The sequence below is a fragment of the Homo sapiens genome, chromosome 2 (assembly GCF_000001405.40).
Source record: "Homo sapiens chromosome 2, GRCh38.p14 Primary Assembly".
NCBI classification, from domain to species: domain Eukaryota; kingdom Metazoa; phylum Chordata; class Mammalia; order Primates; family Hominidae; genus Homo; species Homo sapiens.
In genome coordinates, this window is record NC_000002.12 from 69,305,480 (window position 1) to 69,331,682 (window position 26,203).

General features: G+C 41.3%; 1 protein-coding gene across 4 annotated transcripts in view, besides 4 other annotated features; it reads right to left on the reverse strand.

Annotated features, from left to right (window-relative positions):
* Positions 634 to 1,373: an enhancer, noted in NCBI's record as "H3K4me1 hESC enhancer chr2:69533245-69533984 (GRCh37/hg19 assembly coordinates)". NCBI's record gives its function as "activates a minimal SCP1, AML or CMV promoter by ChIP-STARR-seq in naive and primed H9 embryonic stem cells {active_cell/tissue: H9 hESC(naive and primed)}" and the evidence as "EXISTENCE:reporter gene assay evidence [ECO:0000049][PMID:30033119]".
* Positions 1,479 to 1,628: a silencer, noted in NCBI's record as "silent region_11594". NCBI's record gives its function as "represses an Ori minimal core promoter by ATAC-STARR-seq in GM12878 lymphoblastoid cells {active_cell/tissue: GM12878}" and the evidence as "EXISTENCE:reporter gene assay evidence [ECO:0000049][PMID:35858748]".
* Positions 1,859 to 1,908: an enhancer, noted in NCBI's record as "active region_15969". NCBI's record gives its function as "activates an Ori minimal core promoter by ATAC-STARR-seq in GM12878 lymphoblastoid cells {active_cell/tissue: GM12878}" and the evidence as "EXISTENCE:reporter gene assay evidence [ECO:0000049][PMID:35858748]".
* Positions 5,024 to 5,526: an enhancer, noted in NCBI's record as "H3K4me1 hESC enhancer chr2:69537635-69538137 (GRCh37/hg19 assembly coordinates)". NCBI's record gives its function as "activates a minimal SCP1, AML or CMV promoter by ChIP-STARR-seq in primed H9 embryonic stem cells {active_cell/tissue: H9 hESC(primed)}" and the evidence as "EXISTENCE:reporter gene assay evidence [ECO:0000049][PMID:30033119]".
* GFPT1 (glutamine--fructose-6-phosphate transaminase 1) overlaps positions 14,301 to 26,203 on the reverse strand; it is a 67,448-nt gene continuing 55,545 nt past the window's right edge. For all 4 annotated transcript variants that reach the window (NM_002056.4, NM_001244710.2, XM_017003801.2 and 1 more), the window contains 5 exons: positions 24,205 to 24,319; positions 23,818 to 23,945; positions 22,792 to 22,959; positions 21,435 to 21,596; positions 14,301 to 20,754 (listed from right to left, as the gene is read on the reverse strand). In NM_002056.4, coding sequence (NP_002047.2) covers positions 20,710 to 20,754; positions 21,435 to 21,596; positions 22,792 to 22,959; positions 23,818 to 23,945; positions 24,205 to 24,319 — 618 coding nt within the window. In that variant the 3' untranslated portion in view covers positions 14,301 to 20,709. The remainder of the gene's footprint in view (positions 20,755 to 21,434; positions 21,597 to 22,791; positions 22,960 to 23,817; positions 23,946 to 24,204; positions 24,320 to 26,203) is intronic.

Genomic DNA, 26,203 nt, shown 5'->3' on the forward strand with positions numbered 1-26,203 from the left:
CCACACACGACCAGTTCTTCTAAGACAGCAGGCTGAGCAAGGCCTGGGGAGTTGAGGCATGCTGCAGCAAGGGGTGGGGGGGGGGGGGGCGTTGGAGGTGAGGGTCCTGAATGGGCAGGTGGCATGTGAAGTGGATTGAAATGGGAGCTTATATTAGCAGGTGGCTGCTGAGGGTCACATGTACTGGTCAAGTCATTGCAAGCTGGTCAGGCACTGGGGTGGGCAATGGGTGGGGCAGTCAAGACTGAGGCATGGTCAACCCATTTCTGCCTGCAGTTTTGTGTGGCTGGGACATCCCACTGGCATCTCCTAGCCCAGCTCCTTTCGGACAGCTCTGCAGTCAGACCTCAGACAAGCTGCCAGTGGGGGTTAGCGGGAGACCTGGCCACCTGAGAGGCTGCGCGACTTCCCTTTCTCTACCAGGGCCGTCGCTCCTGGAGCAAGAAGCCGGCATAAGTGGGACCTCGAGGTCCAAAGCGACCTCAACATCAAAGAATTCAGCACTGTTTTGAATAGCCTGAACCAGCTTCCAAATCAATGCAAAATCCACTCACCTAGGGGCCTCGTCTTAGCTTAGCCCTTGTCACCCCCAGCCCGGGACCCTGAGGCGACAGCAGCTCACCTTAGAGACACCAACATTCTTTTCTGGTCCCTAATGCGCTGTGGACAGGGAAACAACCCAGCCTCGCTGACCTCAGCCATCTTCCTGTGCCAAAAAAAAGGAAAGGAGCCAAAAGGAAGAGAGGCGGGAGAGACCACATTTTAAGGAGAAAGATATTTACAGATAGGCTCCCTCTCCTGCCTTCAACCCCTGAGCTATAAAGCCTTGAAACGTTGCAATTTGCAATCAAATGTCAGACACAAAACCTTCTGGCTGGAGATGCAGCCGTGCCAGCTTCCTGAATTCTCTCCTCAATGTCGGCTGCGTGGGGATTTAAACTCATTTAAACTGGTGGGCCTGGGACCGGCTGTATCCATCAAAAACCAGGAAGGGGAGCCGGCGCGGGGCGTGCACAGCTGTAGGAGGGCTCTCTGTGTGCGAATCCAGGCCCTGAGTTCGCACGCCCACCTGGGGCGGTGGTCCAGCCGCCAGGAACCCGCTTCCCAGCCGCTCCCCCTCACGCAGGAAGCCGGGACTCTGGGCGCAGCTCTCCCGGACCACGGCCACGTCCTGGCTCCAGCTACGGAGGCAGAAAGAAGCCACAGAAACCTAAAGGACAGGAGGGGAAACTGAGCTTTCCGCGTGGGTGCGGCTGCCCTTGACACCCGCTTGGGGGCTCCGGAGGGGGAGGCAGGGCGGCCCCGCGCTGAGGGTGGAAGCGTGAACATCCGAGCAGAGAGAGCGGGGAGGGGCCGTCCGGAGAGATGCCCCGCTGGCCCGACTGTGGCCCCCGGGAAAGACGCCGGTCCCGTGAGCACCGCCCCTTCTGTTGTCTCCAGACGCCCCGCTGGGATCACTGCGCGCCGCCGCAGCTTCCCCACTACCCGTTCCAGAGCCACACCCTGGGGTGCGGCCGACACAAGATACCGCAAGGCCGGAGCCCCTCTGCGACCCCTACTTCCGAAGGCCGGGCCCCGGGCGCCTGCAGCCTCTTCCGCACCCGGCTCGGCCGGCGGGTCTGGGGCTCCCGGCACAGGTGGAGGTGGTGGCAGGTAGGAGGCGCTGCGGGGACACTACTGTCCCTGCCCTCCAGACGGCGCCCCGGGACGGCTGTGCCCCCAGGGCCTAGAAAAGTGCCTGAAGCTCAAGGGCCGCTCTCTGAGGGAGAGGGGACCGATCTGAGTGAGATCAGGGAGCGGGCAGAGGGGCTTGGAGGGGACCAGCCCAGAGCACCCCCACAGGGTGTCCCTTGGGTCCTGCCCTAGACTGCGCTGGATGGATTCTGCACACCCCACATTCCAGCCTCCCAAGACCATTGATGCCCTGTGTTTGCAGGCATGGCGCGCCCCGCAGAGCGAGAAATGTAAGGAAGGGCACAGGGCCGAGACGCGTGGCCGCCCCTTAACTGCGCTTCCTCTCGACTCTCGGGGGCTTCGCGGCGTCTGTGCTCATTCAGGCTGGGAAGGCGCTGCCCCCGTGTGGCCGCTGCCCGTCTCCGCAAGGCTGTCGTGTGGGGCGCTCCTCTGCTGTGACCAGCGCGGTTTGTGTGATTCCGCTCCCCCGCTCACACCCACCTGTTTCAGCACTGTTTTAAATAGCCAGAACCAACTTCCTAATCAATGCACCTGGGGTGGATACGGCGCGGGGGTGGGGGTCACAGTAACACCACAAAGTAGCATTTTTCTGGTTCGGCTCCACCTGGAGAACTGTGGGTTCTGCGGACCCCCGAAAATTCCAACCAATTACCAAGTAGTTCAGAAGTTCCAGGAGTCTGGGCCACTGTGGCGGTCGCCATCTTCTCCTGCTGAGGGGCTGAGGTGCCCATTGCTGTCCCTCTCTTCCCGGTGCTCTCAGTGCTGAGCTCCAGCATGCCCCTGTGGAAGGCCCTGCCACAAAGCCTGGCTGCTCCACGCTCCCTGACTCGGCTGTCCTCAAATCCCCCTTCCCCTCTGACAGCCAGTGGTTTCTTTACATCAACTAGGTGCCCCCAAGGTTAGACTTTCCAAGGAAGACCCCGCTCCATTTACACGGTGGTTTCGTTTTACATTTTTAAGCAACAGTTCTCTCAGATATTATTAACAGAGAAAGCATCGTTTGGGTATAAAAGAAGAAGGCCGAGAATGAGGACATCTAGACCCCAGCTGTGGTGTTCTCCAACCAGCGCTGTGCTCCTGGGGGTCTCTCTGGTGGCTCTGTTTAACAGGGGGTCACCTGCTGAAATAGATGGCTGTGGTGTTCATGGCAGGGGATATGAGGATCTTTTAGTGCAGAAGAAAGTTTAGTGGAAAGGAGATGGTGGAGCAGTGAATGAGAGAGTGACCCTGTGGTATGTGGTCCCAGCCCCACTCAGTGCAAGAACTGAGCCTGGTAATACCTCAGGAGCAGCCGCTGTGGGGTGACCAGCTTGCGGGGCAAGGCATGGGCCCTGAGGAGAGGGCACAACAGGTGCAGACGATTGCTAACCCAGACCCGCAGAAGACGTAATGGGCTTCTTCCTAAACACACACGCAAACTCCTGGGGACTTTGATAAATGCCTGTGGCATTTGGAGTGGTGGAGGAGGACACCAATGTCCTGTCGTTATGAAGGACCCCAAAGCTGGGGGAATTAAGCCAAAATATGGACCCACAGATTGGCTGCTGCTGGCGATATTCACAGGAGGTCATGCAGATTCTGTCTGGGATCATTGGAGTCCCGATGCCATGTCTACCTACATCATGCACGTGTGACACCCTTGGAGTAGAACCAGTTTATTCACAGGGTAACCCTGGCAGTGGCATCTGTAGAGAATTCTGGAGCTTGCAGCTGGGAGGGACCCTCAGTACTCCCTGCTGGCTCTGGAGACCCCAGAGGACAGTGAGGGGGCAACAACTGAGAGGACCTCCTAGGCTGCTCTGAGCTCCTGGGCAGGTCTAGAGAGGTGGCTGGATGTTCCAGAGGGAGGAAAAGGCAAGTGGCTTTGCCCAAGCTGGCTGGCATTTCTGGTCACTCTGTGTCCCTAGAGAAATGCCTGAGAACACTCAAAGTCCTTAGGTCAGACCCAACATGTCTAAAAAGACGGAGTCTTCCTGGAGACTATGGGGAAACTATGGAGAGGAGGGTCACAGGGATTATGTCAGATGTGCCAGAATCTGGGATACAGGCACACAAGCTGGGTCGGTGATTCCTGAAGCCAGGTTACCCTGGCATTTCCAGTGACACGATCCAGTTCTAAGTCCCCTTTTGTGCTTCAGTTCCATAGAGTAGGGTTTCTGTTACCCATAACCAGAGGAGTCCTCTCACAATACAGGATTTGTTAAGTCTCCACACATAATTAGATATGGGCTAACAGGAAGTGGACATCTCAGGCAGTGGTAATCTGAAGGCTGCGGTGCCACTCAGAGAGGTGTGGTAGGTGCTGTGCAAGTTGTATTGGGAGTGTGAACTGAATTACTGTGGCAGTGTCTACTTCTGAATGCTGGGTGTGGCTGGCCCAGGAGACTCTGGACCCAGGAAAAGCCTGTTTTGCATTTTCTCATGCAGGTTCATCTCTCTTACAATCACGGACTACCTCTCACCCTGCACTTCAAGATACCAGCACTTAACACTTAATTCTGAAGTGTATTGGGTGCCTGAAAACAACCACATGCAATAATAAAACTCTCCCCAGTTCCAAATGGCTTGAACTAGCGACACACAAAGAGAGGGAAGAGGCCCCTGTGGATTGAAGATTATTAAATATGAAGTATGTTTGTCAGGAAAAAAACCTTTGTTTATATAAACAGTAGAAGCGCCGCCATGGTAACCCTGCTGGGTTTGCTCTGCAGCCCGTAAAGGCCTCAGAGCCAAATTACCACCTCCTTTTTCATTGCTAGCCTACATTTTTAAAAAAACATCTCCAGCCAAAATTCCATGATCTGCCTGCTTGGTTTCCAGGCTCAGAAAATATCATTTTAAAAGGACTTGGGAACCAGTTAGAACCGCTGCCGATGCTTCTAAATGAAAGCTCATTTCTCTCACACACACTCTCACACACAAAGACGCATTTTGTTTGCCAAACTACAGTATGCTTTTCCCTTTTTATGTAACCCAAGTTTCCTTGGGCCTCCCAAGCCTGCAGGGCCGATGAAATGACACTAACATGTGACCCACAGGAACCCAGATCCCATTGGCTCCAGGTGTTTCTCCCACTTGCTTGCAAGGGCCTTGCCTCCTAGGAGGTCTCTGAGTCCTCTGGGTCGTGTGCCTGGATGTGGCCCTGAACAAATCCACTGCCAGACGTAGGGCGGCTTGTCTCCGCAACAGGGCCCGATAGGACCTGCATCACCTCTGTGCTGTCCCTGGAAGTCAAAGCACTTGGTGGTGGGTGAGGAGGCTGCTCCGAGGAGAGCCCCTCGCCTCCCTTTGTGCTACACTCAAGAAACACGCCCCAAACCAGGCCGCTGTGCCCACTGCCTCACAGGCATTGTCAGCAGATGACCTTAGAGTTTACTCACATGCCCCGGCCAACCAAAGATCCCGGCCACAGATCCCAGGGCCAGTCCAAGTGGTGGCAGGTGGCCCTTCTCCGCATTAAGCTTCCTCCTGTGGCTGAGGGCAAACTCATCATTTCTGCCCTGCAGGAAGCTCCTCAGGCCCTCCCCACAAGAAGTCTTTTGGGTGGCCAGGCCGCCCCATTCCGACATGTCCAAGCACATCTGTATCCACTTAGCCCCAAGTGGGGTCCCTTCTCCAACCTCTCCATCCGAGAGAGCCCATTCAAGAAGGCAGGTGGGAGAGCCACCCTCTCCGTGTGGCCGCCTGAGGCTGCCGAGAAGCCAAGCTGGGCCTGAGCTCTGGGGGAAAGGATTGCTCCACTCCAAGGGAAAAGAAAATTGACATCAGATTATTTTCCTACATCTTTTCCCACTTTTTAATATTTGCCACATTGCATTCCACATTCCAATCTCCAAAAGGATGGGAGCATTAATAATATAAAAGAAAGAAGTGAAATTAACTCGACTCTAGAACTTTTATTATTTTCAAGCATATAAAGCATGAGATTTATGGCTGAGCATAAAGTATGTCTTTGACTTGAAATGTTCTCCTAGAGATACATTAGGGAAACAGCCTGATATGGAACCAGACCTGCAGAGATACTGTGATGTTGCAATAAGCCAAGTTAAAGTTATTTATTGAGTTTGGTCAGTTTTGGTATTTCTCTGCTTCTCTTACTTGGCTGGCCATAGTTTTGCTTACTTTTCAACGTTTTTAAAGTTCTTCATTTAATAGAGAATAAATAATGCTGTCTCTGTCTCTTGATTTTCTACTTCCCATTCACATTTCTGATGAGTTTTACCTTCCACATGTTACAGGTATTACACATGTTACCTATATTGCAGCATTAAAAGCCCTTTTATAGACATTCTTTCAATGAATATGTGTGTAAGATCTTCATTTGCTTTTTCACACCTCAACTCAGGATTCATTTCACACATTTCTAACTCAACCCAGGGTAGACGGGAATCAAAATGACTTTCAGATAAGGGCAAACTGGCTTATCCTGGTGTTTCAATCCAAACATAACACTGAGAAAATGATGTCTCTCTCTTTAGCTCTAGCACCAATCCTCAGAGCAGGGAAAGAGAAGCTAAACAAAATATTAGCATAAATCTGGACTTTTACATCATTACTTTCTTCAAAGTGTTATAAATATATAAGCAACTATATGCAAGGTCCTTTTGCCCCTATTATTTCACTGAGATCCAGGTCTGCGTGAGCACACAGTGCTCCCTCCCATACCAAGGTTCAAACAATAGATTTCAGTGGCTCTGTCCACATATATAAAGAGAAAATGGTTCCTGAACAAATTTCAATGAACATTTCCCCCTCCAGGAAGACAGAGTCGTGGCTCCCGCACACTCTTGCCTGAGGTTGTACAATGGACACAATAAAACTATGAGATCTAAAGATGATGTTTCGGCCAGGCGTGGTGGCTCACACCTGTAATCCTAGCACTCTGGGAGGCCGAGGCGGGTAGACTGCCTGAGCTCAGGAGTTCAAAACCAGCCTGGCCAACATGGTGAAACCCTGTCTCTACTAAAAATACAAAAAAATTAGCCAGGCGTGGTGGCAGGCACCTGAAATCACAGGTACTTGGGAGGCTGAGGCATGAGAATCGCTTGAACCAGGGAGGTGGAGGTTGCAGTGAGCCAGGATCACGCCACTGCACTCCAGCCTGAGTGACAGAGCAAGACCCTGCTCAAAAACAAAAGCAAAAAAGCAACACACAAAAAACCCCCTACCTCTTAGAAACCAAGAAGAAGAAGAAAAAAGTTCTTAACCTGATAGAGAGTATCTACAAAAGTCTACAGTAAATATAATGATAAAATGTTGAAACCTTTCCTTTGAGATCAGGGACAAAACAAAGATGTTTCCATTACCATTTCAGTTCAAACTGTAATGGATGCCCTAGGCAGCACTGTAGAGCAATTTTTTAAAAATACGTAAAGATTAGAAGAAAAGAAACAAACGTGCTGTTATTCACAGGTAATATGAGTATATACCTAGAAAAATCCATTAGAATTAACAAGTAAGTTTAGCAAAGTTGCAGCAAACAAAAATCAACACAGCAAATTTCACTGGATTTTCCATAACAGCAACAAACAGCTTTTAAAAATATATCATTTTAAGAACAACAGAAAATATCAAATACCTAGGAATAAATATAACGAAAGATGTGCAAAGCCTCTGAATTGTTTCCTGTGGCTGCTGAAACAAGTTACCACTAACTTGGTGACCTAAAAACAACAGAGATTTATCCTTTCACAGTTGTTCTGGAGACCAGAAGTCCGAAGTCAGTATGACTGAGTGGATGCTGGTATGGCAGCTCTATGGGAAAAATCTTTCTTGTCCCTTCCAGCTTCTGGTGGCTGCTGGCATTCCTTGGCTTGTGGCTGCATCCCTCCAGTTTCTACCTCTGTGGTTAAGTGCCTTCTCCTCTTTGTGTCAAATCTCCTTCTGCCTCCCTCTTACAATGATACCTACAGGCCCCACCCAAATAATCCAGGAAAACCTCTGCATCCCAAGATCCTTAACTCAATCACATCTGCAAATACTCTTTTCCATATAAGGTAACATTTACAAGGTCCCAGGGTTAGGACCTGATATCTTTGGAAGTCATTATTCAGTCTACAACAGACTCTATGGATAAAAATTATAGAAATGTAGAGTCATTAATGAGACACAAATAAGCAGAGATGTGCTCAAACCACATGCATAGCCTGGAAGGCTCAACATTGTAAAACTGCCAATTCTCCCCATATTCATCTATAATATTAAGGCAATTCCAATAAAAACCTCAGCAGTTGTGTAACTTGACAAGCTGCTTCTAAAATCCTTATATAAATTGAAAAGAAAAAGAATAGCCAAGATATTCTTGAAGAAAAACAGTGAGAAAAGGAGGGTTGCCCTACCAGATATCAAGACTTCTTATAAAGCTACATAATGCAGACAGTGTTGAATTGGTACAGAGACAAATAGCCCATGGAAACAAACCCACTTATATGAACACTTGATATGAGAGGTGACGTTGCAGAGAAATTGGGAAAGGATGGGATTTTTGATAAACATGCTGGGAAATAGGATATCTTCATTAAAAAAAAAAGTGTTTTTTTTGTTGTTGTTTTTGTTTTTTTTCTTTTTGAGACTGACTGGCTCTATCACCCAGGTTGGAGTGCAATGGCGTGACCTTGGCTCACTGCAACCTCTGCCTCCCAGGTTCAAGCGATTCTCATGCCTAAGCCTCCCGAGTAGCCAGGATTACAGGCGCCCGCCACTATGCCTGGCTAATTTTTGTATTTTTAATGCAGACGGGATTTTGTAATGTTGGCCAGGCTGGTCTCGAACTCCTGACGTCAAGAGATCTATCCACCTCGGCCTCCTAAAGTGCTGGGATTACAGGCATGAGCCACCATGCCCGGCCAAAAAAAAAAAAAAAAAAAGTTAAAATGAATTCCTACATCATATCAAACTTAAAATCCATTTCAGGTGAACTAAAAATCCAAGGATGAAAGGAAAAGCTTTAAGGGTTTTAGAAAACAATACAGGAGGATATGTTTAAGACCTAGGAAGGATTCCTTGAACAAGTTACATAAAAGCACAAATCAGGGAAAATAAGTAATCAATTTGACTACATTAAAGTTAAGAATTTCTATACAATACGAAAAAGAGAATGAAAAGACAGGTCACAAAGGGGAGAACATATTTGCAATACACAACAAAGAACTAGAATTCAGAATATGTAAAAAACCCCTCCAAGTTAAAAAGTAAACAATAAATCATCCAATTTTTAAAAACTGATTTTAAAAAGATTTGATCAGATTCATCACCAAAAAAAGCAGTCAATACACATATGAAAAGATGCTCAAATCATTAATAATCAAGGAAATATAGGCCAGGCACAGTGGCTCACGCCTGTAATCCCAGCACTTTGGGAGGCTGAGGTGGGCGGATCATGAGGTCAGGAGATCGAGACCATCCTTGCTAAAATGGTGAAACCCCGTCTCTACTAAAAATACAAACTATCAGCTGGGCGTGGTGGCGCTCACCTGTAGTCTCAGCTACTCGGGAGGCTGAGGCAAGAGAATCGCTTGAACCCGGGAGGCAGAGGTTGCAGTGAGCCGAGATGGCGCCACTGCACTCCAGCCTGGGTGACAGAGCAAGACTCCATCTCCAAAAAAAGAAAAAAAGGAAATATAAATTAAAACCATAATGAGAGACAAAGATTTATTCACCATTTGGCAAAAGTGTTAAATGCAATACCTGTTGAATTGAAACTTTTATCATTTGATGGTAACAATTTTTGTCTCTAGTAATGCTTTTTTAAACTTTTTTTGGGACAGGGTCTTGCTCTGTTACCCAGGCTGGAGTGCAGTGGTACAATCATAGCTCACTGTAGACTCAAGCTCCTGGCACAAGTGATCCTTCTACCTCAGCCTCCTGAGTAGCTGGGACCACAGATGCACCACCACACCCAGTTAAGGGTTTTGGTTTTTTGTTTGTTTTGTAGACACAGGAACTCACTATGTGGCCCAGGCTGGTATAAACTCCTGAGCTCAAGTGATCCTCCAGCCTCAGCATCCCAAAGTGCTTGGATTACAGGCACGAGCCACTACATCCAGTCTTAAACTGTTTTTATTGTGGTAAAATACATATAACATAAAATTTGCCATTTTAACCATTCTTCAGTGTACAATCCAGTGGCACTAATTACATTCACAATGTTGTGCAATGATCACCACTATCCATCTTCAAAAGTTTTCATCACCCAAAATGGAAACTCTGTATCTATTAAGCAATAACTCCCCATTTTTTCCTCTTTCAAGCCTCTGGTAATCTCTAATTTACTTTCTGTCTCTATGAATTTGCCTATTGTAGATATTTTATATAAATGGAATCATATAATATTTGTTCGTTAATGTCTGGCTTATTTTGCTTATGTTTTCAAGGTTCAGCTATGATTTGGAGTGTATCAGGACTTCATTCCTCTTTATGACTCAGTAGTATTCCATTGTGTGTATATATCACATTTCCTTTATTCATTCGTTGATGGACACTTGGGTTGTTTCCGCCTTTTGGCTGTTATAAGTAATCCTGATATAAACATTGGTGTACAAGTACCTGAGTTTCTGTTTTCAGTTCTATTGGGTATATACCTAGGAGTGGAACTGCTGGTTCGTATGGTAATTCCATGTTTAACTTTTTGAGAAGCTACCAAACTTTTCCATGGAAGACGCACTATTTTCAAATAAGTCATTTTCACTTACAGTCTATCTTGTCATATTCATGTAGCTTGCCATCTTTCCTTGGGTTGGGATTTGCCTGGTGTACCTTTTTCCAGCCTTTCACATTCAACTTTTCTGTGTCCCTGTGTTTTAGATGTCTTCTATACTTGTTGTGATTATTACCAATGTACTTGGATTTCCTAAATTCCATTTTTTTTCTTCTGTTACTTTGGGAACTATATTCTCTAATCTTAGTTTTCATAAAAGTTTAAATATCCATATTTAACTTCACAAAGTCAGAAGTTATCTTTACCCTCTTGCCACATCATAAAAAGAGCCTTATGTTTTAACCCTGCTCATCTACTCCTAAGTTACAATATTATTGTCTAGCATTTTAGTTCATTATGGATTGTTTTATAGCTCCTAAAATATTACTGTTTTAGACCGTTAGTGCTTTAGATTTACCCTCACTTAAAAGTGTTTTGTTTTGTTTCGCTCACCATTCTTTTTTATTTTTTAAAGAGATGGGATCTTGCTATGTTGCTCAGGCTGGAGTGCAGTGGCTATTCACAGGCATGATCATAGTCCACTACAGCCTTGAACTCCTTGGCTTAAGTGATCCTGCTGCCTCAGCCTCCTGAGTAACTGGGACTACAGGTATGTGCCACCACACCCAGCCACCATTCATTATGTTGTATCTTAAGCCTTTGTGGGATCATTTTCCATCACCTTAGCATTTATCTTTGGAAGATTTTAGTGAGAGTCCCAGTTTTTATTCATCAGATAGCACATTTTTCCCATCAGTCTTCAAATTCAGTTTCATGAATTATTTTTTCAGCACTTTGAAATAGTTCCATTGTCCTTGTTTCCACTGGTGCAGTTGGGAAATAAGCTGTCAGTCTAATTATTGACTTTTTGTGGGTAGTCTTATCTCTCTGGCTTTTTAGATCTCTTCATCTTTTGTGTTCAGTTTCAAAACAATGTGTTTAAGAATGCAATTTCCTTTTATCAGCTTAAGATGTGTGAAGCACTCTAAATTCTAGGATTTGCCTTTAATCTGGTCTAGAAAATTCTCTAAAAAGTCAAGAAGCTTTGACTTTTCTCATTTTCTATCACTCTCTATAGTAAATGCTGCATTCTGGATTATTTCTTCAGACCTATCTTTTTGTTCACTAATTCTCTCTTCAGCTGGGCCTAATCTGTTTATCCATTCTAATTTCAATTGTTATATTTCATTTTCAGTCCTTCCTGAAATCTGCCTTGTCCTTCTTTATTGTCTTATTCCTTTGTCATACATTTGATTCCTCTTACTGCTTCTGATACAGTCAGCCCTTTGTACCCATGGGTTCTACATCCATGGACTCAACCAACCATGGATCCAAAATATTTGTTTAAAAAGATATATAAAATTACAACAATAAAAAATACCAATTTTAAAATACAATACAACTATTTACACAGCATTTACATTATATTGGGTGGTCTGTTTTGTTTAGAGACATGGTCTTGTTCTGTCGTCCAGGCTGGAGTGCAATGACACAATCATAGCTCACTGCAACCTTGAACTCCTAGGCTCAAGTAATTCTCCTATCTCAGCCTCCTGAGTAGGTAGGACTACAGGCACAAGCCACCATGCCTGGCTAATTTTTTTATTTTTATTTTTCTAGAGATGGTGTCTCATTACATTGCCTAGGCTAGTCTCAAGCTCCTGGACTCCAACAATCCTCCTACCTCAGCCTCCCAAAGCACTGGGGTTGCAGGTGTGAGCCACTATGCCTGGCTGTATTAGGTATTATAAGTAATCTACAGATTGCAGAGATGGAAGTAAAGCTTTCCTTCTTTCCTCTCTGAAGGTTTGCTGAAATGAGCTATGACAGATTAACAGGAGAAAAGGCACACAAATTTCATATGCACATGGACATGGGAATCCCACAAATATGAGACTCAAAGCAAGGACACATGGCTGAAATTCAAACACCCTCTTTATAAGGAAGAGGAAAATGGGGTGGGGAGCTGTTTTGGAAGGGTAGTAAATAATTTCTAGGGAAAATGAATCAACCTGGGAGGCAGACATTATCTTATAATTGATTATCTTAGAAAACTGAATATGATCAGCAAATTACAGGAAGGTGAGGGGTAGAACTACATTGTGAACAAAGGTTGCCTTATGCAAATAGTCTTTCAAGTAAACTCTCAAAGCTGTTCTCAGAAGAACAGATGAAAAGTCTATCTGGGCATGATGACAACTTTTAATCTCTTTGTCTTCTCCAGTGGTTTATCTTTCCTGGTTATAAGATTCCTAGAAAAGGGGGTCTTAAGACAATTGCATTTTTTTGGAAAGTAGTTTCCTTAGTCAGATAAAGAGATTCTAGAGAGTCTCTCTTCTTTTGAATGGGGGAGAATTGCATGAGGCCAGGAGTTTGAAACCAGCCTAGGCAAACATAGCAAGACCCCATCTCTACATAAAGGAAAAAAATCAGGTGTGGTGGCATGCACCTGTAGTCCCAGCTATTCAGGAGGCTGAGGCGGGAGGACTGCCTAAAATGTTTGCAGTGTTGGCAAATTTGATTCTATCATTTGTAGTATCTTATCTCCCATGTGTATCATTTTGGATTTTGAGCTTTTATGTCTTGGAATACTTATGGGAGTGTAATTCTCCTGCCTTGGCCTCCCAAAGTCCTAGGGGATTACAAGCATGGCTTCAATTAATAAGTTTTAAATTGCATGCCATCTGAGTAGCATGATGAAACCTTGAGCTGTCCCACCCAGGACATGAAACACCCCTATGTCTGGTGTCTCTACCCTTATACACTACCTGTCCATTAATCACTTAGTAGCTATGCCGGTTATCAGATCAAAAAAAAAAACAAAAAAAACCAGTATAAATATAAATAGGGATTGGTACTATCTGTGGTTTCAGGTATCCACTGGGGGTCTTGGAATATATCCCTTGTAGACAAGAGGGGATGACTGTGTATAAGACTTTTATATCAAGGGAGGTTGTGATTAAGCAAGAGGAATAATACCACACAGAAATGGACCAAGTAATTTGTGTAACTTCTTATCTCCTCTTCTTGGGAAGAGGGTGAGCGTGTCTTCATTTCAAAAGGGATAGCTGATCCATGGCAGGCAGAATCATGATAGTCTTTTTTTTGAGTCGGAGTCTCACTGTCGCCCAGGCTGGAGTGCAGTGGCGCGATCTCCACTCACTGCAAGCTCCGCCTCCCGGATTCATGCCATTCTCCTGCCTCAGCCTCCCGAGTAGCTGGGGCTACAGGGGCCTGCCACCACGCCCGGCTAATTTTTTGTATTTTTAGTAGAGATGGGGTTTCACCATGTTTTTCTTTGGAACTTTAAACATGAGTTCAAGGGTGAGTCTAGATGTGTGTTGCAAAGGGTGAACTGTGCTGGACAATGTCTGCTGAATATTCTGTACTAATAAAAAATTAGCTGCATGTACTAGAGCATACCTGTGGTCCCAACAACTTGGAAGGCTGAGTTGGAAGGACACCTTGAGCCTAGGAGGTCAAGGCTGCATTGAGCTATGATCATGCCACTGCCTTCCAGCCTAGGCAACTGGGAGAGACCCTTTCTCAAAATAATAATAATAATAATCAGCCCTATCTTCTAATAGAACTAGGAATGCACAAACTAATTTATACAAATTTGTCCCTGCTGGGAAGACAGAAATCATTTAAATTCCCAGTGTCATGTCAGCAAAGTCAATTCTGTATTCAGAGGCCAGCTTATTTTTACCACTTCAAGCACCAAAAAAAGACTACATATATGAAAAAGTTTCTAAATTAGTTTTTTTCAAACAAAGAAATGCTCTAAACTTTAGTAATGCCACATGGGTCCAAGCTAACAACCAAGAACAAAAGACAGAAATCCTACAAAGATTCCCAACACTTCCTAGGTTTCTACGTAGCAGCAATGAAAGTAAATTAATAATAAATATTGGATTTACATTTTATTCAAAGGATAAATACAAAATTAAGAAAGAGTTCAAATTCAAAGTAAATATGCTTGATATTTCAAAACAATTCTACATACAAAGTACAATAGGAAAAAACCAAAAGCCCCCATAAATTAGAGTGGCTAGACACATTCAAGTCTAGCAGAAAGAAACTTGAAATTTAATGCAACGTTATTTCTCTTGCCTAGAAGCTAAAGCCTTAATTGTCTCAGATATCTTCCATCTCCTTATGGGCATTACTTGAAGATAACAATGGAGCAAGCTTTTTAATGAACTTGCCATAGTGAAAAACCAATGACAGATGCGACACTGGAAAGAGGACAACAATGTAACCTAAAAGGGAGCTACTGGCAGAAATAAAAACTAGTGATACTGATAACATCTAGACCTTTGCAGACGTTTAGAGTACTGTACAATCTTAAATTATTGTTTATCAACCTTTGGGTCTCACAGATTAAGAATGTACTAGTTAAGAACCAAGGAGTTATACCCAGTTCACAATACTGTTTCCTTCACTTGCCCTTTAGATATAATGGATCTGGAATTCTCAATGAGTGTTACATGGTTTGGGAATTCTGGCAATTTTCCTTCCAAGACCTCCCTATACTTATCTCCATTTCAAAATATACAAAGCTGAGTGACAGAGGCAAAAATTAATTCCTAAAGATCCAAAGGGTATACAATACCTGTCAAATTTGATATGTCTGGGCAGGACACGGTGACTCATGCCTGTAATCCCAGCACTTTGGGAGGCCAAGGCGGGCAGATCACTTAAGGTCAGGAGTTTGAGACTAGCCTGGCCAACATGGTGAAACCCCGTCTCTACTAAAAACACAAAAATTAGCTAGGCATGGTGGCACGTGCCTGTAATCCCAGCTAATCCAGAGGCTGAGGCAAAAGACTCGTGTGAACACGGGAGGTGGAAGTTGCAGTCAGCCAAGATTGCAGCACTGCATGCCAGCCTGGGCAACAGAGCAAAACTCCATCTCAAAAAAAAAAAAAAGAAGCCTCTGGAAAAAATGACGCATCTTGGTGGCGCAGCCTTAGGCTCTGGTGCAGAAGAAGAGAGAGGGAGAGGTGGAGGAGGGAGAGAGAGAGAGAGACCAAAGACTGGGCTGAATTCTACAAGCAGGCAAAACAGCACATCTATCCATTCAAATCACCCTGGCCTAACTGTCTCCTGAAAAACGCAGCAGGTGCTATAACCACTAGGGATAGACTCTAGCTTGCTGTTCATAAAAGGATTCTGTAAGGGAAACTTTGCTCTATAATTAACAGAGAGCCAGATATTACAGAAACTTTAGATTGTCTTGCTACTCACTGACCTTAAATATTATCCTTTCTTTTGCAACTATCAATTCACTTAAAAGTTTTAATCATTGCATACCCCGTAAACTTCCTATAAACAATATGTTATTGCAAAATGTTTTAAAAGATGTGAGAAAGTATCTGTGGAGTTTGGTATCAGAAAGGGCAGAGCCTTTGTTTTATCTAACGATTCTTTCCCAAACTGGGAAGTTCGGGTAGAGACAGTGGCTTTTGGTAATATTTAGGCAGTGATTTCTTATTCTTAAAATCAACAGTAATGAATAAAGTTTTGACATCAGAAATGTTTACAACTAAAGTAGACATTGATTACATTCTTAGTACAATACAATTTCTAACATAACTACAAATGTGTATACACTTCAAATATTAGCAAATTGCTTCAAAATGAAATTCTAAGCAAGTTTTTGGTAATTTATTCACAGTTCAGGCTTACTCACTGGACTTAACGACATGAGGAAGAAATGACCAACTGGCTCAGTAAACTAAACATTCATTTCAAAAATCACAAAACTGAAACAAAGCAAAGATGATCCTAAAATTTCCACTTCTCAAGAAGTGTAATTTAAACAAATACCAAAAGCTTTATTTAAGCAAAAACACATTCAACCACAGAACATTCAGAAAGCTAACAGGATCATTTCTACATTCATTCTGCAAACAGTGTAGTAAGAAAGGTAATTTGAGAATTTCCAAAGATGTTCTCGCTAGCCATTATTTATGGTAATTACATAACATTTTGATGTCAAGTTATTACAGACTTAAAAGTTAATATAGCATAATTTTACAATCGTACTTTCACTATGATTTTTATTTTAACCCTGGATATTATTGGTTTGAAGCTAATATTATCAGTCCTATTGGCTGTCACTGTCACAGATCTGAAGATATGTTTAAATTCATCAAGCTAGGAAGATATCAAAATATTAACAATCTTCAAGTATAGTGAGAAAAAAACTGATTTAAGTGTTAGCATTTCTAAACTTGAGACTCTAACAGTAAAAATAAAGTAATCTGAAACCTGTTTCCATGGGTAAAACACTCTGCCTGGTATTCTTGTACACAAAATTTACTAAATATGTGAATATCATAAAATGAAAATATCACTCCCTTCAATTTCTTTGGCCTTCACAAATTCAATGTGACTATGATCCTTTTCAATAATACTTTCAATGACATTGTGCTTCTTTAGAAAAATCACTTAAGTTGTAGCATACAATAGTTAACATTAGTTCTTTTATTGCTATGGTATATGCTAATTTTTTTAAAAGGGGAAAAAAAAACCCAGAGAACTTATTAAAATGTTTGTTAAAGCAAACATTTCAGTTGGTTTCCTTTCTTTGAAGAATAATAGAAATAAATGTCAGAGGAGTATTACTAAGGAGCCAAAACAAACAAACAAACAAAAAAACAAAAAACTCCTTTATTACTCCCATCCTCAGAACTAACTCAAGACAAGAGATCTGTATTCAAAAAGATAAAACAATCTCATCTCAGTAACTACCTCCTATGAAACCTAAGAGAGAAAACCTGTAATAGCTCTCTTAACCAACAGCCCCATCTGCACATCACCAAGCACCAGTTCCCTTTGGGTAGCAGTAATGCTTGTTTTTCATCTTTGCATATTAAGGACTGTTGTTAACAGATTTATGGGTCATTTGTAGCTTACTTTGCAAATACCTTTCACTTCTTATGAAACACAATATGCCCCCAAACATGGACCATTATTCAAGTAGACAAAATCACTCACTGACAGCACTTTAACAACCCGCCTCCACTTCATCTTCCCATTCTCTCACCCTATGCCTTCCAATGAACCTAGTCTTTGCTAGTGATGAGTCCATCTGGGGACAAATACTGCTTTAAAGATGATGTAATTTTCAATGCCAACCACAGTGACTTTCCCATAATAGGTATTAATAAACACTTGTTGACATAGTTATAATAAGCTAAAAATAGTTAACATTAATTTTTCTCTTTATCTTTTATTCTTATGGCACAGAATTTATTTTAAAAGACTGAAAAACTGATTCCAATGTAATAATCACTTACTGGGCCACACGCTAGATGACAGACATGCCTCCCTGCCTAAAAAGGGCTCAAAGGAACTCTCAGTTATACATGAGTGAATTAAAACTTTAAATGTACTACAAGAAAGAACTTTTTATATGAAGGATTCTTTATGTAGAGTATCTTTTTTGAAAAATCAGATTTTCTTATCCTATATTACACTGGTTTTAATTGGGCATGCTCACTTTAGTGGTGTGCCTCATTACAATGTCTCTTTTGTGTTAAGAATTAACTTACAAAAGCATTTAAAAATCACTACATCAAATGGGATAGAGAGTAAGAAGACAGGAGAGAGAGGAGAAACCATGTTTTTTGTTTTGAGTCAGGAGGGTCTCACTCTGTCACTCAAGCTGAAGCACAGTGGCACAATCACAGCTCACTGCAGCCTCAACCTCCCAGGCTCAAGCGATCCTACTACTTAAGCCTCCCAAGTTGCTGAGACTACAGGCACAAGCCACCATGCCCAGCCCATTTAAAAAAAAAATTTTTTTTTTTTTTTTTTGAGAGAGTCTTGCTCTGTCGCCAGGCTGGAGTGTAGTGGCGTGATCTCGCCTCACTGCAACCTCCGCCTCCTGGGTTCAAGCGATTCTCCTGCCTCAGCCTCCCAAGTAGTTGGGACTACAGGCGCACGCCACCACTCCCAGCTAATTTTTGTATTTTTAGTAAAGACGGGGTTTCACCATGTTGGCCAGGATGGTCTCGATCTCTTGACCTCATGATCAACCTGCCTCGGCCTCCCAAAGTGCTGGGATTACAGGTGTGAGCCACTGCGTCCGGCCAAAAAAATTTTTGTAAAGACCAGGTCTCACCATGTTGCCCAGGCTGTTCTCCAACTCTTGAGCTCAAGCAATACTCCCACCTCAGACTCCCAAAGTGGAGGCTGGTATTACAGGCTGAGCCACTGCACCCGGCAGAGAATCCATGTTTGTTTGGAAAATATCACTTCTTTGTTCTTGATTTTGGTTTTTGATATTCAGTTTAGAACTTACCCTAGCTTTCAGTATATTTGTGTGTGTGTGTGTACACATGTGCTTTATAGAAAGACACACACAGAGGGAGACAGAGATTATGCAGACTAATGACTGACTTCACATATTAGTTTTAACTTAGAATGCTGAATCATACTTTAAACTATAAGAAATGCTACAAACCCACACAAATTGTGTTTGTAAAACGTTAATATACAAAACATAAGAAATGACACTATACACACGCTAGCTGACTTACACAAAATAATCTTAGAAACAATTAAAGTAGATTAATATAGCTATAATAGCCATATATTATATATAATGTAAATAGTGACCCTATTTTATTCTTAAAAAGATCAGGTTTCTAGTCACCATGTATGAAAGTCCTTCCAAATTACCTCAAAATATAACAAATCTTTCTCTAACCCTAAGACACAAGCAGAATTCTATGCTTCTCTGGCAACAACAATAACTATTAGAAAATCTTAACCTCACCCAGAAGTTAAAACAAGAAAAGAAAGAAAAGAAAGGAAAAAACAGCTTACTTAAATAATTGTGCTAAATAGCTTATCTTCACAATTTAAAAGTAAAAACCTTTGAAAAAGAAGGACTTCACCAAAAACAAACACACTCTCCTATAGCCCTGAAGATCTGGCCAGAAAAGCTCCATTAAGAAATTATTACTCACAATTTTGGGGGTATCAAATAATAACATTCTACTTTAAATATTTTAATCCAAATTGTCAACTTCCATTTCTGACACTTACAAGCTGAACATACCCCAATATCACTTTATTTATATCTTCTTTATTCCTAAATATATTTCAGGGGTAGAGCACAGAAAATACAGAAGAGGAAAAATACTTAGGATACAATACTAAATTTGGTGCCTATCAGTGTAAAGCATACATACCTTTTTCTGAGCTTAGCCTACCACATATACTTAGAGTGAAATGATGAGGTCAGCGACCTGCAAATCTTCCAAACAATTGCAAGTAACTTCCAAACTGGCACTAAGGGACTAGTTTTATGCAACAATGTAATGAAGGAAAGTTAAAATTAACTACAGGAAATTCTTCCTCGTGACAAAGTTGAAGAGAATACTGAATATATCAATATTAATTTAATAGCAGCTCTGTGTTGTGATTTTAAAGAACAAGATAAAATATGTCATTCAGCAGTCATTTAAAAAATAAAAGACTACAGATACAAGGAAATAAAAACCACTTTTAGGAGATGAAAACACAAAGTAGTAGGATACCCAACATGTACACATCCCATCTTCAAATTTAAAATCATATTGTCAGTTGTCCAAAGCAGCTTGAATTTAAAGTTTGTGCTATAAAATTGTGCAAATATGTTAAGGATTGAGACCCACCAATGCACTACTGTAATATTTCGCTTCCTAAATTTCTTCCACCTACAGATAATAGACAACAAGTCTGAGAAACTAAGGCTAACCAAACTTAGATATAAATCCTACCAATAAAATTTTTCAGTTTTAAGTTTTACAGTTTGATTTAAAAACAAAACAGAAACAAATTTCAAAATAAATCACATCTTCTCTTAAAACTTGGCAAACCCTTCCCTAACTGTCCAAGTATGAGCATACACTGCCACTGGCTTTAGATACTCCAATTAAATGCACTACTCTTTCACTGGTCTGAATGAAGTATGGTGAAACAAGTACCAATTTTTAGAAACATATTGTCTTCTCAGATTGAAGTGGAGGGTCCAGAAATGCAACACCCAGCATTCTTTAAAGAAAATAATAGCTAGAATCTTTCTGATACAGATTCCAATATAGATTCCATTATTCAAAGTCCTCCACAAATTACTGGGAAAATGTAAGAGGTAACTTCACAAAAATCACATATTGAGTGGAATAATTATAACTGATATATAAATAAGGATTTACTAAAAAAAGGCTTCAAGGGGTGATATTTTAAATCAAGGTTTTAAATACAAAAGGTGTCTTGTGTTGCTTAATCATACAGTTTCGTACATTTTGTATAGATATTCCTCACTCTACAGTCACAGATTTGGCAAGATTCCGTGGGAAATCAACCTGCAAAAAGAAAAAAAAAAAAAGCAAGATTTGAGAGATTATATAGACTGGGGAAGGGGGTGGTTACTATAAGCAAATTATTTTTGTTTATAAAAACAGAAAACAATACATTCATTAACCATCTTTATTACAGACTACAAAGAATTAGATTAGAAAATATAATCACATAATGTGTCCTGAAAAAAACTGAAATTGGTTAGGAAAAAGCATTCTAAAGGTGCCAGTTCACACAGAAAGAGCTACTGTGGTCCTCTACAGAAGTAGTAGCCCTCATAGGGGACACTAAAAACAAAAGCACTATGTTTTGGTTGCCACAATGGCTGAGAAACCAGGAATGCTACAAAGTCTTCAATGTGTGGGACAGTTCCAAACAAAAAAGAATTGTCCTGCCAAATGCCAATAGCTGCCCTGTTAAGAGATAGAGGTTATATTAAGAAAACAGGTGGAGACTACCCAAGGTGAGTCACAATCTTGGAGGTGAACCCCAAGGTTCCTTCAAGTTCTATGGGTAAGAAGATGTTGTGATGTAACCTACAAATTGGGCCATGAAAATATAACAGGTGACAGATATATATTTGATAGATTTCTCAAACACTATTGTTAAAAATTTAGGAGAAAAAAATCAGAATGTATCCAGGTAAAAAACCATCCCAAGATTTCTGCAGTGGTAGATGACTTACATCATAGCCTCTCAGCACAGCAAGGTGGAAAGCCAGCAACTGTAAAGGGATCACGCTGAGAATGCCCTGCAAGCAGTCCACTGAGTGGGGCACCTTGATCGTTCTTTTTGTGTTCTTAATGGTCTCAGTATCCTCCTTATCACAAATTACCACAGGCCGCCCCTAGGAAAGAAAATCACACACATACACAACATCACTGGTGGGCAAAGGCAGGGCTATAGCTTACGAATGTGCAAAAATTGCACTGCATAATCCATATGAAGCCTCACGGACAGACTTCTTTAAATTCCTGTGTAGTAAATCTGATTGTTATTACTTATAGTCGAGGAAACAGAAGCGTTATGGGATCCAGTAATTTGTTTAAACTCATGCAACTAAGAAATACCAGGCTTAGTACTTGACTGCAGGTTTGCCTAACTTCAAAGCTCAAGTTCATTACCACCACATTGTGCTTAGGGAATAATATCTTTTGGAATTTATATATAAAGCCAACTGATCTGAAGAAAACTCAATTATATAATATTAAAATAAAACCTAGATGTTAGATTTCCCCTGAAATATATCGCGTGTGTGTAATTTTTTTTAATTTATTTTATTTACTGTTTTAGAGACAGGGTCTCACTATGCTACCCAGGCTGTATTCAAACTCCTGGACTCAAGTGATCCTCCTGCCTCAGTCCCCAGAGTAGCTGGGACTACAGTCATGTGCCACTGCAACCAGCTGAAATATATATTTAAAAATATTTTAAAATACATTTTTAAATGTTTTAGAAGTATTAAATTAAAAAGGAACAGCATATGTTAACTAAAAGAAGACAGGATGTGGAGACCAAGACCTCAGTTCTGGTCTTGGTTCTGCCCAATATGAGATCTATGACCTTGGTCTTCTTAAAGCTCTAAGTATCTGGGCCAGGCGGGGTGGCTCATGCCTGTAATCCCAGAACTTTGGGGGGTTGAGGCAGGTGGATCACTTCAGGTCAGGAGTTCGACACCAGCCTGGCCAACATGAAACCCCATCTCTACCAAAAATACAAAATTAGCCAGGCGTGGTGGAGTGTGCCTGTAATCCCAGCTACTTGGGAGGCTGAGGCAGGAAAATTGCCTGAACCCAGGAGGCAGAGGTTGCAGTGAGCCAAGATTGTGCCACTGCACTCCAGGGTGGGTGACAGAGACTCCATCTCAAAAAAAAAAAAAAAAAAAAACTCTTAAGTATCTGATTCCTCACATGTAAACCTCAAAGGCTGTATTCCAAAGTAAATGAGTTAACACGTGTAAACATGTTTTGTAAGTCATTCAAATAAGCTAGCGTAACTCCCCTCTTTGATCCCCAAGGTGTTCTCACAGTCCCCCGACTTACCTGCCGAGCAACCACTTGCTGAAGAGCATTCTGACACTTGGCATAAGTGTGATCTCTCATGATGATCATGATCACAGGCATCAATTTATCCACCAAAGCCAGAGGGCCATGTTTCAATTCACCAGCAAGGATGCCTTCAGAGTGCATATAAGTAATTTCTTTGATTTTCTAATAGGAAAGAACCAGATTTGTCTTCAATCCACTTTTCAAAAATCCATGTTTAAGTAAATATTATAAAAAGCATCTGATATGTCAAGCCACTGTCTATCTATCCAAAAGTATTAAAGGACCACTGATCTATAAATATATCTAACAAGTTAATAGATCACTATTTCTATATTATCAACATGTAATTGGAAGTTTTAAAGCTCCACAAGGACTTTTTAAAGATTTTAGATTATCACAAACATATTCATATTTCTGGTTAACCCTTTTTTTTTTTTTTTTTAAGACAGAGTCTTCTTCGATCGCCCAGGCTGGAGTACAGTGGTGTGATCTCGGCTCACTGCCACCTCCACCTCCTAGGTTCAAGTGATCTTCCCGCCTTAGCCTCCCAAGTAGCTGGGATTATAGTCATGCATTACCACATCCAGCTAATGTTTTTGTATTATTAGTAGAGATGGGGTTTCACCACGTTGGCCAGGCTGGTCTCGAACTTCTGACTTCAAGTTTGATCTACCTGCCATGTCCTCCCAAAGTGCTGGGATTATAGACGTGAGCCACTGTGCCCAGCTTGACCTCAATTAAATTTCTTATCTAGAGAACTTAATCTTTATTCATATTTGAACAAATTAACCCAAGTTACTTGCTAAATCCAAGTTTATCATGTTAAAATGTACTCTTTTTGATTTTCACTTCTGAACAGAGTTCTCTGTTGCACTTTCTCAAAGTAAACAAACCACAATGCATAAATACAGAAGCACTTTCAAAAGTTCTACCTATTTCATTCATTTAATGTAAAAGTATGACTATGTGTCAGGTCTGCAGGTCAATGGACTGATACTAATTAGAACTGAGAAAACTTACCAGTGCCCCTTCAAGACAAGTAGCATAATGATAGCCTCGTCCCATTATCAGAACTGACTTCTGATGATAAAGTTCTGTTGCTAGTTTCTGAATTTCGTCATCCATGCTCAGTACTTCCTTAATCAAATCTAAGAAGTAATATTAGCAAAAAAGGACAATAAACCAAACAAATAAAATAACAATATATTGGCAGCAAATAACAAAAGACCAGTGTTTCTATTCCTCTGTGCTATCAATCAGTATGGGTATTTTTTTAATACATCGGAGCAAACGTAGAAAGATCTTATTGACTAAATAGCTACAAGCCACAGCTTCAAGGATAAGAGAATTTTACCTATTACCCACTCCCTTAGACAACAAAAGTGTAATATATGAGTGTCTTTGTACCAGGCAGCCGTTTCAATCCAAGCATGATCTCTTTGCGTCTTTCTTGCATGGAGATCCGATCATCACACATCATAAGGGCAAACATCACAAGGGATACAAACTGGCTGGTATAAGCCTGAAACATCACAAAAAAGCAGGACAATTAGTTGCAGCTGCATCTGAAGAATTTAGAACTTTTAATTTTAAAAAGCTGAAAATAAAATTCCCATTGGTTTTACAGTATATATTCTCTATCTCTTAAAACTACGTTAGGGCCAAGCATGGTGGCTCATGCCTGTAATCTCAGCACTTTGGAAGGCCAGGGCAGGGGGATCGCTTGAGCTTAGGAGTTCGAGACCAGCCTGGGCAACATAGCGAAACCCTGTCTCTAAAAAAAATACAAAAATTAGCTGGGTGTGGTGGTGTGCACCTGTGGTCCCAGCTACTCAGGAGGATCACTTGAGCCCGGGAGGCAGAGGTTGCAGTGAACCAGGATCGCACCACAGCACTGCAGCCTGGGACAGAGTGAGACCCTGTCTCCAAAAAACAAAAATAAACTATCTTAGTAACAGTGAACTGAACCAGTACTTGGGAAATCTATCACTATTCTCCTTTTCTGAATCTTGAACAAATGACTCAACCTTTATTTCTTAGATACAAAAGCCAAACACCTTATAACCCATTGAATGCTTATAAAATTCCTAATATCCCTAAGAAAGGAAGGAAAAGATGAGCAAATCAGCATGTGCCTAACCACATTTAGTTTTTGGTGTAAGTCAAAAGGCAAGTGCTTGATAAACTCTCCTTGGGGTACTTGCACTGGTATTGCTGGATTTTTTTTTTTAATTGCTCTTTGATTTCCACCTTTGCCTATTGCCTGTTCCTCAATCCCAGTTTTATGTTTTAAGTTTGCATTAAAAAAAAAAAAAAGGAAAACTACAGTTGTAGAAAAGTAAACAGAAATAATATTTAATCTCATCTGTTATTAGAAATAATTACATTAATAATATGCTATTAATAACACTTGTGAATATTGCCTTAAAGTTTTTACTGTTTTTCTTTTCTTTACACAGTTAAGAAAATTAATTAGCAGGTACAATTTTATAACTTGCTTTCACTCCTAAATAATAGTACAAGTGTAATCCTAAAACTGAACTCTGTCAAGTTACATTATAACCTTGAGCAGTTTTCATCTCTTTAGGCCTCAGATACCCCATCTGTTAAATGCACATGACACTTACAAGATTATAATGACAATTAAATGAGACAAATGTAACGCATTCAGTTCTGTATAATCCCTGACACACAGGCTCAAAACGTACTATAAATTTTATTGATGACAGCTTGAACTAAAAGACAATTAGTTTCTTAGGATACAGAATTGTATGTATTTCAAAACTCACAATCCTACTGCCAAGACTATTTTCATTCTTACTAACTTTATGTGACTGTGAGATGTGCCTGTTTTGTCAAGTTCTGTGAAATACTGAGAATTATCTCTTTAGCAAACTTTTACCATTTTGACTGCGGGACAATGAACCTTCACTACTATTTTAGCATACATATCTTGAATCCTAAAGCTAAGCTTTTTTTTCATGTTTGTTGACCATTTATATTTTCTCTTTTGACAACTGACTTTGTTGTTCCTCACCTGTTTTTCAACTTGAGTTTCTTTATTCAAATTGGTTTTAAGAAGGTAGTTATTGTTCAAAACAAAAAAATTAGACAAATGCTACATTAATGTTTGGGTGGTCAGATTCTACTTTGAAGTCTGAAGTTTGCAGATATGCCTACAGATTTTCAGAGTTTACCACTTCTTTCTTATTCTGTACCATTAATGTAATACCTTAAATTACTATATATGTTACCATTTTTCTGGATTTAGTAAGAAATTTGCATTTTTGGTGTGATGTAACAAGGGTTTTAATATAATTTATGTTAGATTTTGCATTTTTTTCATTACTGTTATATTTTAACCTGACTGAATGACTGATCTAATTGTATTAGTATTGTGAATAAT